Source organism: Homo sapiens, chromosome 18 (genome assembly GCF_000001405.40).
Source record: "Homo sapiens chromosome 18, GRCh38.p14 Primary Assembly".
Lineage (NCBI taxonomy): Eukaryota > Metazoa > Chordata > Mammalia > Primates > Hominidae > Homo > Homo sapiens.
Window position 1 is genome coordinate 26,066,512 of NC_000018.10, and position 25,826 is coordinate 26,092,337.

Consider the following 25,826-nt stretch of genomic DNA (forward strand, 5'->3'; position numbering starts at 1 on the left):
ATCCCTAATGTCAAAGGGACAGTCTTTCAGTTCCCTAGCATTTTTGCAAGTTACTTTCGCTGATTTTAATATAGTTCTGGAAATTTGTGCACACACACACACACACACACACACACACATTTCTGTTCTTCACAGTAAGATATATCCAATCTCTTTACCTATCTGGACTCAATTAGTCTTCTGAATTTTATATATACTGTCCAGCAAACAGTAAACATGATTTTTTTTCCTAAGATATTTGAAAAAGAAGGTAGGCAATGATGTTGGTAAAATGCTCCGTATAGTATCAATTCAGAAAAATGTGCCCCCATAGACAAATTATCTATGAAATACAGGAATACTGCCTTTGTGGAACTTTCCATAATCCTTAACGGCAGAAGTAATCACATCTTCTGCTGTTTCAAATGTACTCTGAATACAAAGTATTTCTAAAACAGCAGGTTATACTGTAAAATAACTATTGAGTTGTCTTTCAATTATAGAATTTTTTGGTATATAAAAAGTTTTGTTATACATTCTTAAAGGAATCAATTATTTTTCTTTATAGTTTTCTCTTTTGCTTTTTATTCTCAACACAGCCTTCCTCACCTCAATATCAGAAAGATACTGATGTCTTAATTTGTACTAAAACTCACAAAAATAAACACTTCAGAGACATTTCACCCACAGTCTTGCTTCCTGTTTTTAAATATCAAAATGTTTTAACTAGACACCTTTAATTGTGCAGCACCATGCTAGGTACCAGTGAAAGAAAAACACTTGGACACCAAGCTATGGCAGGTGAAAGAAAGGGAAGAACTCTGAGATGACCACCAAGCTTCTGACTAAGAGAACTAAGTGTTTTTAATACTACTTGCTTGAGACAGAAAATATGAAAATACTGGCTGTGAACTTTTTCCCCCTTTTTACAGCAGGGAACAACAGAGGGGGAACTGAGGAGAAATGAGTTTTGTCCATATTGTTTTGAGAGGCCTGTGGAATGTCCAAATGGGTATGTCTATTGGAAGCTGGATTCATGGCTCATACTCATAAAAAAGATCTGTATTTGGCAACCATCAATGTTTAGATGGAACACCTGAAGTCAAGAATATAGGAATCCATGAGTATGGATAAAATCTCCCAGGAAGAGTGCATATAACGAGAAAATGTTCAAGAATGGAGTAGCAGCATTTAATGGGCGTGGTAAAGACGACGAGCTGCGCAGCCAGAGAGAGAAAAAGATAACTATCATGGAAGCTAAAGAATAAGTTTCAAAGGAGAAAATAGTATTATCATGCTTACCAAAAAGACCAGTGGTCCCCAACCTTTTTGGCACCAGGGACTGATTTTGTAGAAGGCAATTTTTCCACTGATGGTGGCCGGATGGTGGGAGGGGCAGGCGAGGGATGATTTCGGGATAAAACTGTTCCACCTCAGATCATCAGGCATTAGATTATCATAAGGAGCATGCAACTTAGATCCCTTGCATGCACAGTTCACAATAGGGTTCACCTTCCTGAGAATCTAATGCTGCCACTGATCTGAAAGAAGGCAGAGCTCAGGCGGTAATGCTCTCTCACCTGCTGCTAACCTCCTGCTTTGCAGCCCGGTTCCTAACAGGCCACAGACCCGTATCAGTCCATGGCCTAGGGTTTGGGGACCCCTGAAATAAGACAACATTATCCTGTTTATCAAACACTGAAAACATTATTAAAATACGAAATTTTAAGAAAAGTTATTTCTATAACTTTAAATGAGAATATAGATGCTTTCTTTTTTTTACTGTAATTAAAAAACAAGGTACAGAACAGGGTACACGGCAAGTTCTACTTGTGTAGAAAACAGCAAGGTATATATTTATATTGGCTTTTATTGCATAAAAAGCAGGTAGAAGACAGAAGTGACAGTAGGTTTTTGTATGGCTTTTTGTAGTCCTTGGTGTTCTAACCATAACAAAGTTACCTATGCTAAAAATTTAGTAAATGTTACAAATGTAATACAACCTGCTAATCTTCAAAATGTTCCACAGCTCTAAGCATGTGTTCCTTCACCTTACTTGAATCACACCTGTAAAAAGGAAACTCTGTAAGACCAAATGTTAGTCAGAGAAGTACCTTAACAGATGCTTTGCCAGGACAGTTGCTGAACCTGAAGACTAATATTATCATCTTTACTAAAGCGTGTGGAAGAAACAGCTAATCACATGCTACCCAAGGGCTCTGCTCAGAATGTCAAATATGATGTTACCAAAAAAAATGCAACTTAATTTCAAACAATATATAAAATGTAAGACTACATAGCCTCAATCAATTTTTATTTAACAGGTCAGACTTTTATTTTTTGTACAGATATCTTTGTAAAGATACTTACAAAAATTTTAAGTATATATTTAAATAAATTTAAAATTCACGAAGTATATTTGGCTAAACTGGGGATATTTCAAACGCAGTACTCACAATGAATTAAGTAAAAACAAGATAAGGAATTCCAATCAGCTTTCAGCCTTTTAAAATGAAGACATGCTTTTATGTACTCAACTTAGTGGATGGCATCACCATCAGTTGAGTCTCCAAACACTCTCTTCTACACTTTATATCTACTCAGTAACTGAATCCTGTTAGTTCTACTTCAAATACTCCAGAATCTAATGCCCCTTTCCATTGATATCCTCCAATGTGTACCTATATCTTTATTATCGTCATCATCGCCAATATTCACTGAGTACCTTTACATGTTGGACACCATGAACTGTTTTACAGCATTCTAATAAAATATATAATAAGTATTATCTTTCTCATATTATAAAAATCATTCATGTTAAACAGTATCAAATGAAGCTGACACCACAGGAACAGGAATTTTTTTCAGAATATTTTTCTGAAATTCTCAAAATGTCATTGGATAATCCATTTGAAAGGCAGATAAATTTAAGGTTCTTTATACTTAACTGTACATTAGAATTACCTAAGAAGCTTTTGAAATACTGTGACAGGTCTGCCACAAAGACCTACCAAAGTAAAAAAAAAAAAAAAAAAAGAAAAAGAAAGAAATACTGTGACAGGGCCCTCAGCCCAGATCGATTTAAGTTACTGGAAGTTTTTTAAAGTTTTCCACATAATTCTAATGTGTAGCCAAGGCTAAGAAACACTAGACTATATGATTATCTAGGTTCTTTCTAGCTTAAAAATGTTTGATTATACAGAAATATTTTCAGACTGTGAGCCTTAAAATGAACTACCACAATAGAAAGAACTATTTTCTCCCCAAGTTTTTCTCAAAGAAACATTAATGAATAAAAACTTTTCTTGAATGAAATTGTTCTCTCATAATTCTTTTCTAAACAAATGGTGCCTACCACTTTGTATATGCTAATACTAGCAGATGATAAAAAATAAATTAACAGTAACTAATATGAAATTAAAACATAGAAATGCCATTTCTTCAAAGTATGTTTGAGAAGGAAAAATCTGCATACACAAAAAAATAGTCACACTTTCTACTGGTAAAATTGTTCCTAGGTGCGGGGAGGGGATGAGGATTGAAAAATGACCTATTGGGTACAGTGTTCCTTACTGGGGGTAATGGGTACACTAAAAGCTCAGCCTTCACCACCACACAAGAAATCCACGTAACAAAACTGCACTTGTACCCACAAACCTATAAAAATAAATTAAAAATGGTTCCTAATTATGAAAATAAGTATGTCAATAGTTTGTTGTTTCAGAAAGTAAACACCAACTGAGAACCAACATTTAAATGATGCCTGCAAGGTTTACCAAGATAGGGCCCTATCTATCTACACTAAATGGAGCCAGAGTAGTGCACATTTTGAATTGTCAGCTTTTTATAAATTTTATGTCTATTTCTATGCCATCTTGGCTGTCAGGTAACACTGCATGTATATATGTCTGCTTATAGAACAACTTCTCCCATTTTTGCTATTTGCTGTCTCCTGGCTTAAAATTAAGAAAACAAGTCTGTTAAAATATGTGTAAGGTGAAGAGTAGTTCCCTTATAAAGTTATAATGCTTTGGCATTAAGAAAAAAGACACAAGGCTGAAACTAAGAAGTAAAATGCCTAAGTGTTAGTGCACTGGCATTAGAAGTTATTTTTCTCCTTTTATTCTCAGTGTTTAGATTCTTGACTTTTAGATTCTAGCTAGTGCTCGATCTTGGCCAGTTCCAAACACACGAAATAGAACTATAAATAAATAATTCTTCTCTTGAGATGACATGGGAAAAAACTGAAAGTTAAACTTATATATAATTATGAACACATTTCTAATTCCCACCCCATTCAACTGAAATGAAGTGAAAAACCCCATTCTAGAAAACTTAAGTAAAATCATCCTAAAACATAATAGTTTTTTCAGACTCAAGTATCTCAAACTATAGTTAGTAACATCCTCTCAGCAAAGAGCAGAAAATATTTTTAAAATGCCAGAGCAGATCTAAAAAAGAACTTATAGAAATTCTAGAAATAGAAAAATATATATTAGGAACTCAAGGGATAGGTATAACAGATTAGGCCCAGTGAAAAATGAACTGGAAAACTGGTCAGAAAAAAATATACTTAGAATGATAAATGGTTGGAAAAGTCTGAAGGGATTAAGAAACATAAAGATACAGTTACAAGGTCTAGTCTAAGTTTAACTGGAGTCTTATGGAAGAATTATTTGCTTGAAGAGATAATGACTGAAAACTCCCAAAACTGATGAAAGACATGAACCTACAGATGTCAGAAATCCCAACAGGCACCAAGCAAGATAATTAGAAAGAAATCTTCCAATATCTAACTACAGTGTGAGAAAAAATAAATTTAAGAAAACAGAAATCCACACCTAAACATACTAAAACCACTAAAAATCCTAGACAAAGCAAAACTCTTAAATGCAGTCAAATAAGCAGATTATGTTCAAAATATCAACAATTACATTGATATCTGAATTTTCAATAGATACAAGACAGAAAACAACGCAAGGATAAATGTAATGTGCTAAGTAAACAACAACTAACCTAGTATCTGTCCTTGGAAAATATCTTCTAAGAATCATGGTGAGCCAGGTGTGGTGGCTCATGCCTACAATCCCAGAACTTTGGGAGGCCAAGGCAGGAGAATCACTCGAGGCCAGGAGTTTAAGACTAGCCCGGGCGATATAAGACCCCATTTCTCCAAAAAATACAAAAATCAGCCAGGCATGATGGTGTATGCCTGTGGTCCTAGCTTCTCAGGAGGCTATGGCAGGAAGATTTCTTGAGCCCAAAAGTTCGAAGCTGCAGTGAGCTATGATCATGCCCCTATGCTCTGGCCTGGGTGACGGAGTGAAACACTGTCTCCAGAGGAAAAAAAAAAGAATGATGGTGAAATAAAGGCATTTTCAGACCCAGACCAAAACAAAACAAAAATACTGAAGGTATGTCTCACCAGCAAAGCAGTGCTAAAGGAAATACTAAGGAATGTTCTTTAGGAGGTGAAAAAAAAAGTGATCTAAGCTAGAAGGTCATAAATGAAAGGAGGAACAGAAAGCATCAGAAATGGTAAGTAACTATGTGGATGATCTAATGAACACTGACTTCAAAAAAAAGACAGTAATAACAACCACTTGTGGAAACATATAGAGACTTAAAATACATTACAACAACAACGAAAAGGTCATTGAGGGAAGGAACAGAAATGAAGTATTTTATGGTCCTTTGATTGGGATGTATATTATAATCTATACAGTAACCACTAAAAGAATAGTAAATATGTAAGATTTCCCAACTAGAAAGAAAAAAAAGGAATAATAAAAAACAAATTAATTATTGGCCGGGCACAGTGGCTCACACCTGTAATCCCAGCACTTTGATTGCTAGACTGAGTTAAAAAAAAAAAAAAAAATCTACATCCTACTCATAATATCGTTATCTCTAACACAAGAAAACAGAAAGGAGGATAATACCATGCAAACACCAAAGAAAGCTTATTTAGCTATGCTAATATCAGATAAAGTAGACTTTAAAAGCATTACTAAAGATAAGAAGGGATAATTCACAATGATGTTGCAGGCGGCGCGCAGCACTTTGGGAGGCCAAGGCAGACGGATCACGAGGTCAGGAGATCGAGACCATCCTGGCTGACAAGGTGAAACCCCTTCTCTGTTAAAAATACAAAAAATTAGCCAGGCGTAGTGGCGGGCGCCTGTAGTCCCAGCTACTAGGGAGGCTGAAGTAGAAGAATGGTGTGAACCCAAGAGGAGGAGCTTGCAGTGAGCCGAGATCACACCACTGCACTCCAGCCTGGGCAACAGAGCGAGACTCCGTCTCAAAAAAAAAAAAAAAAAAAAAAAAAACCTTAAAAGAGCTAAAAGGAAAATCAGTCAGTCCACAATTTGACTTGTACATTTTAAACATACATCTCTCAGTAATCGATAGAACAAACAAACAAAACATTGGAAAGACTAAAAAAACAACAATCATTAAGGCTACAGAGGATTCAAACAAGATTAACACACTTGACCTAACCTAATAGACATATATAGAACTCTGCTCTCAGTGGCTAAACAATACATATTTTTTTTAAATACACATGAAACATCTGTAAAAACTGACCATATGCTGGACCTTGAAACAAATCTCAAGGAATTCCAAAGAACTCAAATCGTAAAATGTTATTTAACCACAATGCAATAAAGCCAGAAATCAAGAAAATAAAATATCCATGTTTGGAAATTAAGAAATGTATTTTTATCAACCAATGCATTAAAAAATAATTATGAAAATTAGAAAATATTTGGAATTAAATAAATATGAATATACTACATATCAGAACTATGATTAGAGGAAAACTTATGTCCATTTTAAATGCATCCTTAGAAAGGTGAAAATTGATGAAAGAGGCATTCATCTAAAACTCAGAAGAACAGAAAAAAATATACCAAAAGAAAGTAAAAGGGAGAAAATCATAAAGATCAGAAATTAATCATAAACAAAAACATACATGAGGTGCCCAAGGGCAAAACTATTTCCATAAGATGATGTTTGCCTTTTATGCTAAGTGCACATTTATAATGATGGTACAAAAGCAATAGTGGATATAATTGCTGGAACCTCATTATGAATCAAGGCAATGACATCAAACTATTATTAGTCAATGTATTACTGGCTGCCACACACTTGCAGTTGAAGAAAGAAAAAGATAGTTTCAGTTAAAAATGTGCTTGATGAAGCAGTAAAAATTATTTTGTAAATTCTCCATGTCTTGTAAATAAATATTCAGTGACAAAATGGGAAAATAATAAACATTATCTGTCACAAAGTAAAATAATCAAGAAAAAGCAGTTTGTGATTGAGTTGCCAGCTGAACTAGGCACCGTTTTCACTGAATACCATTTTTACTTGAAAGAACAATTGTTAACTGTATTTATCTAGGCATGGGTATTTGGCAGACATTTTCTCAAAAACAAACATAGTGAGCAAGAAAATCAACTAATAACATTTGTTGCCAAGATCACATTTGAATTTCCAAGCAAGAACTTGGAATGTGCAAACTTATCTACGACCTTGAGCTTGACAGCATCCCCATACTTAGGCACTTTTCTGATGAGATTAGAGGTGATTTTAACCAATGTAGTCTTTGGTATCACACAGAAAAATGTTAATGTTTGGAAGAACTGTTTAACTCAGTAAACTTATACTTTCCAAATCACCAAAGCATGATGTTATAAAATTATACATGAGTAAAAATCTATTCAAAGTGTAATAAAGACCAATGGGCTTAAATGTACCAGAGTAAGAAAAATGTAATGATACAATTTAAGATTCCACACCACAACTAACCTTAAAAAAAAAAAAAAACTTACTGAGTTCTGCTGTAATATCAAACAAGGTTATCCCCAAAAATCTGAAAAGGCTATTAAAATATTCTTCCCCTTTCTAACTACATGTCTGTGTGAGACTGCATTTTCTGCTACAACCGAAACAAGATACTACAATAGACTGAATGCAGAAGTAGATGTGAAAATATAGTGTCTTCTATTAAGCCAGACATTTAACAGAAACTTGCAAAAACGTAACATGATGCCATTCATCTCACAAAGATAGTTATTTTTCCTTTAAAGAATGTTATTTATATTAACATGCAATAAGTTTATTATTTTTAACAAATTTTTTAGATTTGTTTTAATTTCACAACTGAGAAAAATTTATAATTTATATTAACAATATAACCTACATCAAGTTCTTTTAAGTCCTCAGTAATTTTTAAGAATGTAACAGGGTTCTGAGACCAAAAGGTTTGAAAAATGCTGCAACAGAGCACAATCAAAACCAAAAGTTGATTCTTTGAAAAGACTTAAAAAACCCATAATAAACATCTGGCAAGAATGATCAAAAAATATTTCAAAGCAGAAGTCACAAATAATGACATTAAAAAGAAAATTATCACTACAGACAGTGTTGACATTAGGAAAATAAGATTATTTCAAGAGCTTTTACTTTATTTTCATGCTAATTAATGTTCAAATTTATTAAAATGCTAAAAACCACAACTTACCAAAATAGGCAATTTATAAAATATAGAAATTGTCCTATAACAATTAAAGAAGTAAGTAAATAAAAACTTCCTTGCAAAGAAAACTTCAGATTCAGATGGCTTTTCTAAAGAATTGTACCAATCATTTAACAAAGAAATAGAAATATTATGTAAATTCTTCTGGATAAGAAAAAGTAGAAAATTCTCCAGCTCCTTTTATAAAGCTAGCATAGCCTCAAAATAAAAACCAGACGAAGGCATTATAAGAAAGAAAAATTACAGGTCAATCACACTCACAAACAAAGATGCAAAAATCCTAACCAAAATTTTAACAAACTGAATATCGCAATTTCTTTAAAAACATCATGACCAAGTGGGTCATCAACAAGTAGGTTAATTACAAGAATGCAAGACTGACTGAGCATTAAAAGTATATCAGTATATTTTACCACATTAACAGATTAAAGAAGAAAAAGTCTTATAATCATCTCATTCGATGCAATAAAAGTACTTGATAAAATTTAACATCCATTCAACATATAAATTTTTACTTAGCACATCAGAAACAGAAAGGAGCTTCCTTAATCTGACAAGTTATCTATGAAACACTACAGCAAACATCATACTTAATGGTCAAACAGTGAAAGCTTTCCCTTTGAGATCAGGAACAAGACAAGGATGTCCTCTATCACCACTTCTATTCAGGAATGTAATGGAGGTCATAGCCAGAGAAGTAAGGCAAGAAAAAGAAATAAAAGGTGTAAGGATTGACAAGAAAGAAACAAAACTGATTATTCACAAATGATATGATCATGAATACAGAAAACTGAAAGCATCTACAGAAAAACTCAGAAGCAAGAGCTGAACAAGAATGTGAGATTCAAATTAATTGCATTTCCATGTAAACAGCAAATGCAGCTAGAAAATAAAACTTAAAAGACAAAGATTCGATTTAAAATGGCCTCAAAAAATATAAAGTATTAAATATCTAGCAATAAGCCCAATGAGAGATGTGCAAACCATCTACAGGGAAAAATCATAAAACTTCATTGACAGACATTAAAGAACTAAATAAATGAAAATATATGCAATGCTCACGATTTGGAAAACTCAATTTTGTAAAGATATCAAGTCTTCCCAAATTGATTTACAGTCAAGGTAATCTGAATGAAAATCCCTACAGGATTACGTATATGTGTATATAACCTGACATACTGATGTTTAAGTGTATATGGAAATGCAAAGAACCAACAGCCAAGATATTCTTGGAAAAAAAAAAAAGGAATAAGATTAAGTATAACAAGAGAGTGGAATTCATAAAAACAGACCAAGGAAACGATATAAACAGATCAGACACAGACCCACATATAAACGGACACCTGATACAACATAGATTGCATGACAAAATATCTTGTTTTTCCAAGAAATAATAATGGGACAAAAAACCATCCACATGGAAACAAATGAAACTGAACCTATTCCTCACATTATTCACGAAAATAAATTCTACCTAGCTGGTAGTCAAGTTGATGACAACTGCCACATGAAGAACTATTTCAACTTCAAAACTAAATATACTGATTAAAATATCCCCAGTGGGATGTATCTTAGGGACAAGCATCTTATTGTTAGTGTTAGTTTTGGTACCATTACATTGTTATATGTTTTATATAAAGTAGCATACAGCAAATCACAAAAACAAAGAAGCTATGAAATACTTGAGTCATGTCAGAGGAACACAGGAGCCAAATGAAGAGGCTTCCATTGATCAGAGAAACAAAATTTCAACATAACAAAGAATGACTGCAAGGGATTTAAACATTAAAAATCCAAAAATGTATTAAATTCAGATAATAAAAACAAAAATATTAAAATGGTAACCTACACAGGTTGCTAGAGACCAACTCATTCTGAAAATTGATAAAGGGACAGAATCAAGCATTTATCATGACTTTCCTATGGGGACTCTCTAGTTTCAGGATAACCAAATATTTAATGAAAGGAAGTTTATCTTTTTAAAATAATTACAGCTAATAAATGCAAGAGGGATTATAGAATTAGAAATTCACCATTCTGTGATCCCAAAGTGAAATACAGGATCTGGTCCACAAGCATCAATGACCATTAAAACCATTAAGTGATAGGTAGACAGGGAACTTTATAATGGATTGATCAGGCTGGTATCAAGTATACCCATTGATCAATCTTAACATTACTAAAAATGGAACAACCAAACATGTTCTTCCTGATCTGATATTATGGGAAATACAAAGCACCGCCAACAAAATACTCTTACCAAAAATCTAAACCTCACTAATTAAGCCTCTCTAATTACCAGTTTACATGAAATAAGAGAAACAAAGGAACACGTTAAAGGACCATGAGAATACAATTAGCCAAATGCAGAATGTTAAAAATTCTACACAATATATGACCCAGTTCCTTTAACAAATAAATGAAGATTTAAAAAGATAAAATGATACAGATTAAAAGAGACTAAGACACATATCAACCAATGCACTACGTGTACCTTGTTTGGATTCTGAGGCAAACAACTGTTTAAAAATTTAGAGTTTTTAATCGCTGCTCGGCCTTTTGGCTAAGATCACGTGTAAAACATTTAGGTTTGTTTTAGATAACGGATAAAAATTGAAAATAAATTGAATATTGTAAGACAGAAAGAAATTATGGTTAACTTAGTTGGGTATGAGAATAGTCCTGTCTGACAGAGATGCATATGGAAATACAGTATTTACTGGTCAAACTGTAAGATGTCTGGGACTTGCTGTGAAACATTTCAGATTAACAAATTACTTGTGCAATTAAAAATTAAAATAGGTAGGTAGGTAAACAGGTAAACGAATATAACCTTCTCAGGGACAGAATCAATTTTAGGTGAATTCAAATTAAATATAAAAGCAAAACAAAGCTTTTAGATAACATAGAATACTTTCATGTTCTCAGAGTAAAGCAGGATTTACTAAACAAAACTTAAAAATCATTCAACAAAAATGTGCCATACCATATGTAACTATAAAGATTGTCTACTTCACATGATTTTAAAGATACTTACTGCTGGTAAAAGAGACTGCATATTTTGATTAGAATCTGCTATTGTAGCAAGGTATACCAAGTTTGTGTGCAACATCTGCTGATACCTATTAAAACAAAACAAGTATCAGTATTAAAAAATAATTTTCTTCCTACCTGCCTAAGTACAAACAGCACTATAATCATTTCTAAAGTTTCATTAAAAATTTGTTACCCGAACATCAATAGCACTTCAATTTTTCCTACACTGCAAAAGTTCCAAATAATAAATATTTAAATATAATGAGCTCAGAGATCTTGCCATGTATGCTAAATAGTGTTATAATTTTTTATATGCATATATGTTTCAATCCACAAACCAATACTACGAGGCAGGAGCTCTTTTCTCCATTTTACAGATGAGAAACTAATGTTTAGAGAGGTTGATAACTTGTACATGATTGCATAGCTAGTAGATGGAATAACTGACATATGTAATAGGCCCATACTAGTACACTGAGTTTTTTTAAAAAGAACTAAATAAAGGAATCCAGTGAAATGTGCTTATCTCAGCTGGGCACAGTGGCTCACACCTGTAATCCCAGCCCTTTAGGAGCCCAAGGTGGGCAGATCACTTGAGGTCAGGAGTTCAAGACCAGCCTGGCCAACACGGTGAAACCCCCGTCTCTCCTAAAAATACAAAAATTAGCTGGGCATGGTGGCACACGCCTGTAATTCCAGCTACTCAGGAGGCTGAGGCAGGACAACTGCCTGAACCCAGGAGGCAAAGGTTGCAGTGAGCCGAGATCATGCCACTGCACTCCAGCCTGGGCAACAGAGTGAGACTCCATCTCAAAAAGAAAAAAAAGAAATATGCTTATCCCTTTCCTTCTGCCATTTTCATTTTGCTAAAAACCTCAAACCCAAGTACAGTCAATATGTTCTGCTAAAATTTAGGAAAGGAGGTGGGAACCACACCTTTTTTTCCTTTTCACTACTGTAGCAATGACCAACAACTTAGGCCCACTGTGTTTATACTACCCATCTATCAGGACACAGCATATAGAGAAGGCAATGAATAGGCAATCTCCAACTACAGAAAAAAAGAGATATGCTAAAACAAAAGATGGAAGAAATGTTATAACACCAACAACACTCAAGATTAACTTTAAGAAAATAAAGCAAATTCATTATCAGCATTACGTGGTTAAACATGCTTATTGTAATCTTACCTATGAATTAGTTTAGCTAAGCTTCTCTTCACAATTTTAACAAATTAACTGACAAAGCCATATTAAAATTAGCAGTGATCCAATCACTAGTGTTTTGTCTCAGTGCAGCCATACAAGCCCCATGAGTACAAACTTAAAACCTGCATCAAATTGTTAGGCTTTCTTAAATATTTCATTTACTAAAAATGCTAAATACAAATTAAAATAATAAAAATAAGTTTTTTCAGCTAAAGTTCTCTAATTCAGATTCCAAATTAATTCATTTTCTAAAATAGACACCATAAAAGGAATCCGAGTTTTTCTTTTGTTCGTTTTTGGTTTTGTTTGTTTTTTTGAGACAAGGTCTCACTCTGTCACCCAGGCTGGAGCGTGCAGTGGCGTAATCATGGCTCACTGCAGCCTTGATCTCCTGGGCTCAAGCAATCCTCCCACCTCAGCCTCCCAAGTAGCTGGGCCCACAGGCACATACCACCACACGGTGCTAAATTTTGCATTTTTAATAGACAGGGTTTCACCATGTTGCCCAGGCTGCTCTCAAACTCCTGAGCTCAAGCAATCAGCCAGCCTCAGACTCTCAAAGTGCTGGGATTACAGGCGTGAGCCACTGTACCCAGCCGAATCCTAGCATATTCTTTGCTACTTATTTTTCTCCTGTTACAAACAACAGGTTTCACAGCTTTTTTTTTTTTAATAAGAAAGGAAAAAACACTATTTCTTGCTGACCTTAAAATAACGCTTTCACAAACAAGGCCATGCTTTTAATGCTTTGCGTCACATGGACACTATGTTGCCCAATGAGACATGATACATCTTTGATAGTGAACTTTACACTAAATGGACAAAGTAATAATTATATTGTACTAAATTATACATAATGGTTAATTGTGTTGTTGAAATTCTTCAAGCAGCACTAACAGGGACCACTAGCTGGAACTATTTCATTATTCTGTAGAGATCTAGGAAGGAACTTAAAATATAGTGTTCCATATCTTGCCATTTTTTAAAAAACCAACCAGCCATTTTTAATTAGAACACATAACCTGTTTCAGTCTAGGCCTTCAAGTTTTCCTTTGCTTGAGTATTAGTATGGTTGCACGACATGAGATTTTCTGAGGACCACTGACCAAACCATACTAACAGATGTGGTTTATTCATGACCCTTTAAGAAAAAATTTTAGTATCATGTTGATTAGTACTTGACAAAGCCAGTGTGAAACTACTATTACATCTAATCTGCCACACTCTTAAGGTCTCATATGTAAAATAATGGAGTTAAAGCAGGACACTGAAGTTGCCTGCAGTTTTAAAATCTATAAACCCAGGATCTTTTATGAAGTAGTTTCATTTTAAGACATTTGCCCAACCTTCTCTCAACTGTCAAATCTTTTCAATTTTTAATTGTGAAATAATTTTAAACTTACAGAAAAGTTTCAATAGCAAAGTCTTGTATATTTTTTCTCCCAGATTCTCTAATGATTAGTATTTTACCACATTTTTCCTATCATCTCTAAATACACACACCAACACACACAGACATACATATGCACTCACTTTTTTCCAAAACCATTTGTGAGTCAGTAATACATTACTCCTAATACTTCAGTACTGGCTTTCCAAAACAAGGCTATTCCCTCATATAACAGGACAACCATCATGGGGAAATTAACATTGATATATCATTACTATTTAATCCACAGAACTCATTCAAATTTCTCCAATTGCCCTAATACCTCCAAATCATTTTCCCTCGTATAAGGAGGTAGGTAAAAATGAAAAATTTTCAGTCCGCAGTCCGGCCTGGGCGACAGAGCGAGACTCCGTCTCAAAAAAAAAAAAAAAAAAAAAAAAAATTTTAATTGGCCTTTTCTAACTTCAGTATGTTTATTTTCTGTAAAATTGCATTATTTTATAGCATTCATCAAATAAGTATATTCTTTTTTCTTTTGAGACAGAATCTCACTGTCAGCTAGGCTGGAGTGCAGTGGTGCGATCTTGGCTCACTTGTAATCTCCGCCTCCCAGGTTCAAGTGATTCTCCTGCCTCAGCCTCCCAAGCAGTTGGGATTACAGGTATCCACCACCACGTCCAGCCAATTTTTGTACTTTTAGTAGAGATGGGGTTTCACCATGTTGGCCAGGCTGGTCTTGAACTCCTGATCTCAGGTGATCTGCCCGCCTCGGCCTCTCAAAGTGCTGGGATTACAGGCGTGAGTCACCACACTCAGCCCAATTAAACATATTCTAAGATGACTCAAGGTTCAAAGATGAACATTAACAAAAAAGTAGTAAATACTCATATTATTTTATAACTTTGTATATAGGTCACCTAAAAAGCAATCAGCAAATACTCTAGGAGAATCTGGACTCAGGTGACAATATTGAAATGATAATAAAAATGATATTAAATATATTTTCCTCAGAAACTTTGAATATTTTTATTCTATATATAGTTACGTTTCTCACTGAAACAGTTTACTTTCTTAATGTTTTATTCCTAAAACAGTATATGTTGTGCTGGGCACAGTGGCTCACACCTGTAATCCCAGCACTTTGGGAGGCTGAGGCAGGAGGATCGCTTAAGCCTAGGAGTTCAAGACAAGCCTGGGCAACAAAGTGAGACCCTATCCCTACGAAAAAGTGAAAAATTAGCTGAGCATGGTGGCACGCACCTGTAGTCCCTGCTACTTAGGAGGCTAAGGTGGGAGGATCACTTGAGAACAGGAGGTTGAGGCTGCAGTGAGCCATTATCATACCACTTGCACTCCAGCCTGGGCAAAAGAGTGAGATTATGTCTTGAAAAACAAAACAAAAAAAAAGAGTATATGTTGATATGAGGAAAAAAAGGAGTATATAAGCTAAGGGCTGTTATAAAATATATTTAGTATTTTATTTTTGATGATGGTACTGTCCTGGTAAATATGACAAATATTCTCAAATACTCATGATTATTAACCTATTAAAAGAGCCAGTTCACCTCCCACAGAGGCCACTAAGAGTAACTCATCAATTACTTTGAATAAAGTAAAATGGACACTCTATTTGTTGACATAATTACAAAATTAAGCTGGAAGTAATTTCATTTTATAAAATAAACCTTACCTAGAAGCTATGAATATTTATTAGACAACGGGAATGCACTTTATAGAATAAAAGTTATCTTCCAAACTACAGATTTAAACAACTCTTTTAAATTACGATGAATGATCGACACTAATTTTTTTTGTTGTTTGAAATTTATGCAACTCTGGAATAGTTTGGACTCACCCTAAAATGCAAAAAATAAGAAATGATTTAAGCAAACATAGGTTGATTTAGAAAATGCTCAAATTAAACATCACAGTGAATCAGTAACACATTCTCACGTGTGTTACCAGAATTTAAAGGAAGATGGTCCAGGCACATGCGCTCCACAAGTGATTCAGACCACTGACTCATGAGTGTAATATTTGAATTTGTGTGTGTCTGCAGAGAGCGTTGATAAAGCAACATACACAAAGGTACTACCACTGAAAAGTCTTTGGGTAGTAAGAATATGGTATTCATTCTCTTATTTTTACACATTTTTGTTTTCTAATTTGCACATACTGCTTTCATAAAATACATAGTTATTTTTAATTTAAAAAAAAACACAGTTTCAGGCAAAGTTATCACATCTTAAGGAGTTGTTAATTTAAAATTGGAGTATCAATTCCCAGATGGCTGTCATGTATTAACGTTTCTCTTTATTTTCCTTTTGCTTCTCCTACAATGAGAAACAAGAACACCTGTTAAGGTCGAGAGGAGGAGTTGTTTTTCTCTTTATTCACAAACCAATACTGACAACTTGAGAAAGAAAGAATATCTGAAGAACAAAAGAATAAAATTAAATCCACCAAAAACGGCAGAATTTAAGATTCTCCCTAAGTCAGTTTAAGCCCTATTTGCTTAAATTGTTCACCAAGTATATGTGAGAAAATGAGATCTAATCCAATATGTAGAGAATGAGGGAAATGATCATATATATATATCTGAAAAAGTTGAAAATTTTGCTGACTCAGTTGGTTCTAGACCTAAACATACACTATCCGTGACATATACTACCCTTGGCTCTGTGTGGAGTTCTTAAAAACCAAAGGCAAAAATAATTTCAGTTATTCATCACTTAACAATGGGGATACATTCTGATAAATGTGTTGTTAGGTGATTTCATCGTTGTTGTGCAAACATCATCAAGAGTACTCACACAAACCTAGATGGTATAGCTTACTACACACCTAGGCTATACAGTATAGCTTATTGCTCCTAGGCTACAAACCTGAAAAGCCTTTTACTATACTGAATACTGTTGGCTGTACTGAACTGAATGGTAAGTATTTGTTTATCTACAATTATCCAAATAGAAAAGGTGCAGTAGGAAGATGGTATTATAATCTTATGGGTATTATAGTACAAATATGGTATTATAATCTTTCGGTCTATTGTTGACCAAAAGAGCATTAGGTAGCGCATGATTGTATTCTAATAAGTGCCTCTAAGCTTTAACATTCCATGGCTGACTTGAGGAATTGATCTCCTTACTATCCACAGTTAAACCAAAGAAGTAGATCAGCTAGTTAATTTTTTAAAGAACATTCTCAAATATATGCACAAGATTCATCTAAGCAATAATATATGTAATGGAAACAATCATATAAAATGCAAAACATACAAGAGATTGAACAGTAAGATAACCTAGCACTCAGATCTTAGTTTCTAAACATCATTCTCCAAAAAAAGAACCAGGGCTTGGAGAAACGGGTGACTACCCACCTGCACAGGAAAAAAAAACCAGGATGAGCCTAGAACATTTTGTGGTATAAGAAAATAAGTAAATGTTCAAAAAATAATGAAGACATATCAAGAAGCCAGCTTGAGGGGCTCCCACTGGCCAGATCTGGAAGAATTAAAGAAAATAAATAATAAAGTAAGAGATTATAACCTAGAGAATACAGTAATAATGTTTAAGTCCATTTAGAGATAAATAAGTGAAGAATGAAGGAATAGGAAAAGAACAAATTTCTTCCTCACAGTAGGACTTAAGTAAAAGTAAAAGGAATGATAGATTTAGTCATCATTTGGTAACCACTTAAAGTGATAACTATTTTAGGCAAATCATTGGATTTTTAGTGGATGCTAAAATTAGTGTGTTGAAGTATGATGAGAAACAATGTAAATGTGCCTCAAGGTATTAGATACATATGAATTACAAGAAATAGCAACTTTATGGTGAACAAACCATAAAGTTATGATACCACCTTAGTTAAGATACCACCTTAACTAAGTCATCAAAGTTATCACCAATATTGGGACAAACTACTAACATATGGCTACTGAGGATGCACTGTGAAGGACACAATATCACGTCAGTGGTACTTCTGCTAAAAGTGTATAGTGTGAATTTAATCATGGGAAACACCAGTCATATCCTAAATGAGGGACATTCCACAAAACTACTGGTCTATACTATTCAATAATGTCAAAATCATGGAATATTTTTAAAAGACCCCCAGATTAAAGTATACTTAGGAGACAAGACAAATACAACACCAGATCCTGTACTGGACCCTGGACCAGAAAATATGCACTAATAGGACAACTGGCAAAATTCAAAAAAGCCCTAAATATTAGATAATAGTATTGCATTCTTGATTTTAACAATTATACTCTGGTAATTTAAGAATATGTGCTTGTTTTTAGGAAATACACACTGAGGTTATTAAAAGTAAGAGGGATTCATATCTGCAATTACTCTCAAATGTTTCTAAAAAACAATATGGGGGAGAAATGAATAAAAAACCAAGTGGGCTATGTAATCGTTTGAAAAATTCAATGCAGCACATACAGGAATTCTTTGTACTATCTTTGAAACATTTTTGTAAGTGTGAAATTATTTCAAAACAAAAAGGCTTTTTGTTTTTTCTTGTTGGCGGCGTTAAGTAGAAACAGTTATCACTGTTGCCCAGGCTGTTCTCAAACTCATGTCGTCAAAGCAATCCTCCCACCTCAGCCTCCCAAAGTGCTGGGATTTCAGGCATGAACCATCGTGCCTGGCCAAAACAAAAAGTTCTTTAAGACACCACTTTTCAGCAACTGGATATGCAAAAATATTTTAAAGATGTCTAATATCTACTGCTCACAGGGGTAGCTGAAAGCTAGGACTCTAAAAACCTGGCTGGGAGAAAGCAAACCAATACAATCTTTTTGCTGGCTAATTTGGCAACTTAGTATGGTCTTTAACCCAGTAATTCCATTTCTAAAACTGAACCTACATAAATATTAAAAACAACAATATCTATAAACGTGTATGCATAAATATGAATGCATATATGTAAATACACAGAAAAATGTTTGGAAGGATACATACTAAAGCACTAGAAGCAGTTACCCCTATGGAGGGGAAGGAGATAAGACAGTGGCATGTAAAAGGTGACTTATCTCCACAAACTTATACTTTATAATTTTTTTTATGATAACCATATATGACTTTTTACATTTAAAAATACTTTTAAACAAAGGGGAAAAAGTAATGGAAACTTGGAATTAAATAGAGGGTAAATCAAATGACAGCAAGAGACCAATACAATGTGAAAACCAAACAAAGCAAGGGCCAAGGTTGGTGGGAATTATCTGCCTGAGGATACACCAGTGAAGTCTCTAGGAAAGACAGATGCATCCCAAAACAAGGGTGAGAATAAAATAGTCAGCCCTCAGTATCCACAGATTCCACATCCTTTAACCAACCATGCATTGAAAATATTCTGAAAAAAAAAAATGGATGGTTGTTACTGAACATGTAGGCTTTTTTCTTATTATTCCCTAAACAATATAGTATAACAAGTATTTACATTGTATTAGGTATTATGAGCAATCTAGAGAATATTTAAAGTTTACAGGAGGACGTGAGTAGGTGATATGCAAATCCTACACCATTTTATATCAGGGACACGGGCATCTGGGACTTTGGTATCCATGGGGAGTCCTGGAATCGATTCACCATGGCTACCAAGGGTCAACTGTATTCTACAGCTGTGTTGACCAATATAGCAGCCACTACACACAGTAAAATATGGCTAATCCAAAATGAGATGTGTTATTAAAGCAAGATACACAATAGGTTTCCAAGATTTAGAACAACAAAGAAAAGAATGCAATATATCTCAATATCTTTATGCTAATTGTATATTGAAATGATACTATTTTGGAAATAATAGGTTAAATAAAATGTATTACTAATACTAATGTCATCTGCTTTTTACTCATTTACTGTGTCTACTAGAAAATTTAAAATCACACATGTGGCTCCCATTTATATTTCTAATGGACAGTGCTGTTCTATTCTAATTACTTTTGATAATATATTCAACTTATTCTACCACATCAGATTCTATTAGGGCATATTATTTACTTCAGATACATCACTTCAAAGTAAGAAAGTTTGGCCCTTATGAATGACAATCAGTTCTCTATTTATTAGATATAAGCTTTGTTTTCACCACATACATGGATGCAACTCAATACCCTATATAAATGAAGATCTAACTTTCCCACAGATAAGACTATACATATATTTGAAGTCATTATTGTATAATGCAGGGTAAGAAGTATAAGAAACGAAGTGATACCCAATCTCCTCCCAAAGAAAGTTTTCTTTTATAAATTAACAAGTCATACAAAAGCTTGTACACAAATGTTCATAGCAGTATTATTCAAAATTAGTCAAAAGTACAAACAACACAAATGGCCATCACCGATGGATAAATAAAATGTGGTACAGCTGCATAACGGAAAAAAATACTTGCCTATAAAAAGGAATGAGGTACTGAAACATGGTTCAACATGGATGAACCTCGGAAGTATTACACTAAGTGAAAAATGTGAGTCAAAACCGACCACATAGTATATCAATCCATTTATATGAAATGTCACAACAGGCAAATTCACACAGAGAGTAGATTAGTGGTTGTCACGGGTTGAGGGGTGGGGGATAGTGACTGCCAAAGGATACCCAGTGTCTTTTGGGGATGTTAAAGATGCTGTAAAACTGACTCACGTAATACCAGCACAACTCTATGAATATACTAAAAAACATTGAATTGTACACATTAAAATAGGTGAATTGTATGGTATGTGAATTATATCTCAATAAAGCTGTTAGTAAAAAGTAAAAAATTAACCAATACAAAAAACTGAATAAAAAAAAAGTTTCTTATCAATCTTACTGAGAACACTCTGAGGTCTTTCCTTTATTCTGAGAGTCCATTATACACTGAATAAGATGGTTATTGTCATCCAACATCTGAAACAGAATTAGAAAAGGTTTAGCATAAAACTAGTGCATCAAGTAAAATAAAAAACTAGAAAATTCAGAAAGGGAGGGCATTAGTAAATACTGCTTGTACAAGAACTCTAAAGCGTATCCCTTAACAAAATACTGTCCCCTGCAAACAATCATTACTATCATAAATCATTAAGCAAACATGGAAACACAAAAAAAACAAAATTTCCTTAAAATGACTTTGTTAATGTTGCTACCCGCTGTTACAAATTATTTTAAAATTCATTTTAATAACAAATATAATTTAAAGCAACATTAGTGTATCAGCAGCTCTCTTGCATAAAATTTCATTACGTACTGTTTAAATCTCTTGTAAAAATATGCCATGCACAGTTCATACGGACAATCTTTTCAATAACTGAGTTTTTTCCCTTCAGATTTCTAGAAATGTTTCATCTATACAGAAATTGAATCCCCTTGGGTCCTTTTAATATATATGACAGCTCACCGCAAAAAAATCTTACTTTTACACCTTTGGAATGATATCGTGTTTAATCAATAATGTTTTAATATTCCAATTATTCTCCCTCTGAATAAACAAGCCCAGAAGGGAAAATCTGAATTCTTTTATATCAAACATTTAATTACCTCTGCTATCTGTAATAGAAGCTTTAGCCAATTAAGACTAAAAGTTAAGAGTCCGAGTTGGTTTTTCATCATTCTAATGCTTTGGAACAGTAAAGAAAAATTCTGTCCTTCTCCAGAATGAAATAAATACATGAAAACTTCAGCCCAGGAGTCTTGATGAGGTAGCTGGTTAGTTTCCAAGTTTTATAACAGCATGGTTTTGTGACTCTCCAATTATGAGATAATAATTAAACATAATAATTTCTATGCATGTATATTTGTTACAGACTTTATGAGTTTACTTCATAATTATGCTGTCTCAAAAGTTTAAGAGGAAAAACATACCGATTTATCATTCTATCATCTTTTAACATTCCAAGCAATCTTGGCTTTGAGGGTTAAATAATTCATCTAAGTAAAGTGGAGCTGAAGAAAGAGTACTGATTGTAGCAATTAAAAGGCCAGTTAGTTTCAGTGCCAGTTTTGCCATTTTGAGCAAGTCACTTAAGTTTTCAGGGGCTGATTCAGCTGTAAGATCAAGGGACTCAGGATATGCTCCTCCAGAACCTGCCCCACCCTACCAGTATTCAAAAGTATTAGCACAATACCATAATCACGCAATCTAAATAAAAGGAACATCCATTTAACATTAACTGTCACTTTTTTATGCACGTGAATCATAATCTTCACTTACTGGGGGAAAAAAAAAACCACTAACATGATCTGCTAATAAATGCAGTTATTTCTTAAATAGAACCATTGGATGACCAAAAAAAGTCCTTAAAAAGCACGAATCCAGTCCTCAACCTAATGATTTCACAACTTATTATCTCCAGTATATTCCTCAAACTATTGAACTTCACCATTAAAATATCTGTCTCACATCTAATATCAATCTCTCCCATTGTAGAATAAGGCAATTAATTTAGAGCCCATTTTTCTGTTCAGCTGAGAATGGAAAATAATTGATCAGCATCCTCCGAATTAATCATTATCCATGATAAATATCTTCAGACTTATGTAACAGAAACTATAAAAAAAAAAGAAAAACTCTGGACTTTTCCTGTGTACAAAAATAAAAAAGGTGAGCCCTCCAGAAACGCAGTTTTGCGTGAGTGCGTACTTGGAGCTGTTTGCCAGGCTGCAGACTTAACTCAGAGCACTATATGAAAGCACTGCATTTCCAGGCACTGCCAAGCCCGTTTGTTCATAAAATAAAGCAACAGTTGGGCAAATGTCAAAAGCCACACTACGAAGAACCTGACAGTAAACAGAAACCGATTAGCATAATCTACGTGGTCTGAGTGGTACTAAAACTTGACCTTTTTTTCTATTTTGATCTTTGCTACACAGCATAAAACAAAACAAAAATATTTAAAGTAAACTGCTAAATACAGCAGCAACTTCTGAAAGTCTAGGTCAGTAAAATTTAGAATGCTGCCTTGCTTGCAGGCAACAAGGGGTAGAGGACAATAAAGAACCTTTGTGTTCCGACTGGCAGTAACACAGCAGCGACTGCAGCAGCTCTATCCTTTAAAAAGGAGGCAGCTCCCTGTGTATTTATCACGACTTACATTAACTGGTCACGACAGTCTCCACCATTAGACTGTAAGCTCCAGGAAGGCAAGGACCATGACTCACCACAGTAGCCTCAGCGCCTAAAATAGGCGCTCAATAAATATTTGCTGCAGAATAAATGAATAGGCGGCGATGCAGAAGGGAAGAAGAGGCTCTGGGGACAACCCCAGAGTCCATGGGGACCTTCCTTGCCCGCTCCTCAAACTCTATACTAAGGTTCCCTCCAGCGTTCCCCAAGTCCTCCTGCGAGCTCCCAAACTCGGCTGAGTTTGCAGGGCGGCGACCAGCGCACCGACTTCCCCTCTGCCTGCCGCGACCCGCGGTGGGGTCCGCACGAAGCAGCCGCGGCACGCGGGGCGGGGCGACGCCAAAGTAACTCCGGAGCAACGCGCGGGGCCGCCGGTCCGACACACGCCCTTCCCTGAGCGGCCGCCGCCGGGCGCACGCGCCCCGCAGCCCGAACGCCGCCCCATCCCTAGAGAAATCAGGCGGCGGCTGTTTGGGCTTTTGTGTCTGTAGAAAAACGCGTAAATGCGTGAAAGACTCCGAGAAAAACCGGTTCACCCTCTTCCGCCACCCACTCAGGCACAGCCAGCAGTCCGTGTTCCCAAACACTGCTGATTCCCAGCAGGCCCGCCTCCGCCTCGGCCCGGTCGACTCCGGGCCCGGCCCTTCCCCCCGCGTCTGTCTCTCCCAGAGGCGGTAAGGGCCTGGCATCCGCAACCCCGCGCGGTTTCACCTTCTGAATCGCAGCGGGAGTGATCTCCCCCTTGCCTCGCTGCCTCGGGGCCGCGAAAGCCACAGACATGTTGCCGCCGTCACCACTATCGGCAAGTCCCGAGCGCTCCGGGTGAACGGCAAACTGGGGGAGAGACGCCGGCCTCTCGGGCTGAACCACCTCGGGAATGCGGGGAGGGGGGATGCTCCGGGGCCAAGCGGACGGGCGGCGGGGCAGGCCTGAAGGAGGCACTCTGGCCAGGGATGTCTCGCTTCTGCGCACTCTGGGGGACCCCTAGCCCTGGCCGAACTTTCTTGACCGTCCCTGCATCCCCCGAGCTCTCCTTATGGGCACCCCCTGGCCCTTTGCGCTAATGGTAGAGTCGCGCCCTAGTCCTCCCTCCGCTTCAGCGATTCAGGAAATGGTCCCGCCGCCGCGGGAGAAGGAGAGGCTGGGGCAGCCCCTGTCACAGGAAATGCGAGCGGCCCAAGCCGGCCCGCCCCCTTCGCGCCGTGGCAACTTGCCTCCCTCTCCGGCCCTCTGAAGCGTCTCCCCGACTGTGTTGCAGAGCGTGCCCTAGACCTAGTTCAGTTTTTCCAACTTCATCCTTACTTACGCCTCCTGGCAAGAGTGGCCGCCCCGAGTTGTCCCGGCAGCCCGGAGAGGGGAGGGAGGTCAAGACTCGGGAGTTCGTGCAAATCCGTGGAGCATCTGCCGAGATAGGGCAGAGGTGGAAGGACAAGGTGAACGCGGATTCGCTGGTTTAAATGGCTCGGCTACGCCCCAAATGCGCACCTCCGAGTCCACAGTCTCGCACGCACGCACAAAGTCGTGCCTAACAATTGGAAAGTAACCCTGACCCGAAACCGGGACACCAAGGTTGTGTCCAGTGCTCAGGGGCAATCGGCCAGCTTGGCTGGAGCGGACAGAGAAGAGCTCGCCTCTTGGGACAAACCCTTAGCAGGAAAGTGGGTCGATTTCGTCTGACTTGGCTTTTTGGAATTAAGTTGTGAAACAGGGCATCCTCACTCTCTGTTTTTTAAGAGAGTACTTACTTAGTGCCTTGTAAATTAGGCCCAAGCTGCCAGGCTTCAAGTCAGTGTAAGGGAAAAAGGCAAAGTTTTCAAATTATGGAAGGAACACGGACAAATGTGGGTTTTGTGTTGCCGTGGGGTTTTAAAGTATTCTGTAAATTTAGACTTCCATATAACACAAAGGGAAAGTTTATATAAAGTGTTACCCAACGTTAATGAATAATAAAAAATATTTCCATTTTTATATAAATTGGAAAAATAAAGAAAAAATACATTATTTTAAAAATTTAATCACTTGAGGCCAGGAGTTTGAGACCAGCCTGGGCAACAAAGTGAGACCTCTGTCTCTACAAGAATTTTAAAAATTGGCTGGGTATGGTGGTGTGCACCTGTAGTTCCAGCTACTAAGGAGGCTGAGGTGGAAGAATCACTTGAGCCAAGGGGGTGGAGACTGCAGTAAGCCATGACTGCCCCACCACACTCCACCCTGGGTGACACAGCAAGACCCTGTCTCAAAAAAAAAAAAAGAAAAATTAAGTATCAAATAAATGCTCTTCACAAAAATGTCAAGAATGTCATTGATTAAATGCATTGTTTGTTAGGCTTTATACTGGAAACCTAGGGTACGATTGTGAATAAGCTGGACATGGAACCTCCTCTCAAGGAGCTTATACACTAATGGGACTAACAGACCAGAAACAAACAAATATGTATATATGCAAAGTCCCAAGAAAAACTAGCCAAAAAAAAGGGGGAGGAACTAACAGAATGACAGGAACACTTACATGAGTTAGTGTGAAAAGTCTTCCCGATTATATTTAAAC

General features: G+C 36.1%; 1 protein-coding gene across 14 annotated transcripts in view, besides 1 other annotated feature; it reads right to left on the reverse strand.

Moving 5' to 3' along the window:
* The window catches only part of SS18 (SS18 subunit of BAF chromatin remodeling complex), a 74,967-nt gene extending 50,259 nt beyond the window's left edge, over positions 1–24,708 (reverse strand). For 2 of the 14 annotated variants that reach the window (XM_047437767.1, NM_001308201.2), the window contains exons 1-3: positions 24,585–24,708; positions 20,990–21,066; positions 11,565–11,649 (exon numbers count right to left, since the gene is read on the reverse strand). In XM_047437767.1, the coding sequence (XP_047293723.1) occupies positions 11,565–11,649; positions 20,990–21,066 (162 nt within the window). In that variant the 5' untranslated portion in view covers positions 24,585–24,708. Of the gene's footprint in view, positions 1–1,982; positions 2,027–11,564; positions 11,650–12,499; positions 12,636–13,793; positions 14,590–15,851; positions 16,018–17,540; positions 17,665–20,989; positions 21,067–23,989; positions 24,103–24,580 lie in introns of those variants that run through there. The other 12 variants (XM_047437768.1, XM_011526145.2, NM_005637.4 and 9 more) reach the window with 10 other exon arrangements.
* Positions 24,437–24,556: an enhancer, noted in NCBI's record as "active region_13178". NCBI's record gives its function as "activates an Ori minimal core promoter by ATAC-STARR-seq in GM12878 lymphoblastoid cells {active_cell/tissue: GM12878}" and the evidence as "EXISTENCE:reporter gene assay evidence [ECO:0000049][PMID:35858748]".
* Positions 24,709–25,826: the final 1,118 nt, after the last annotated feature.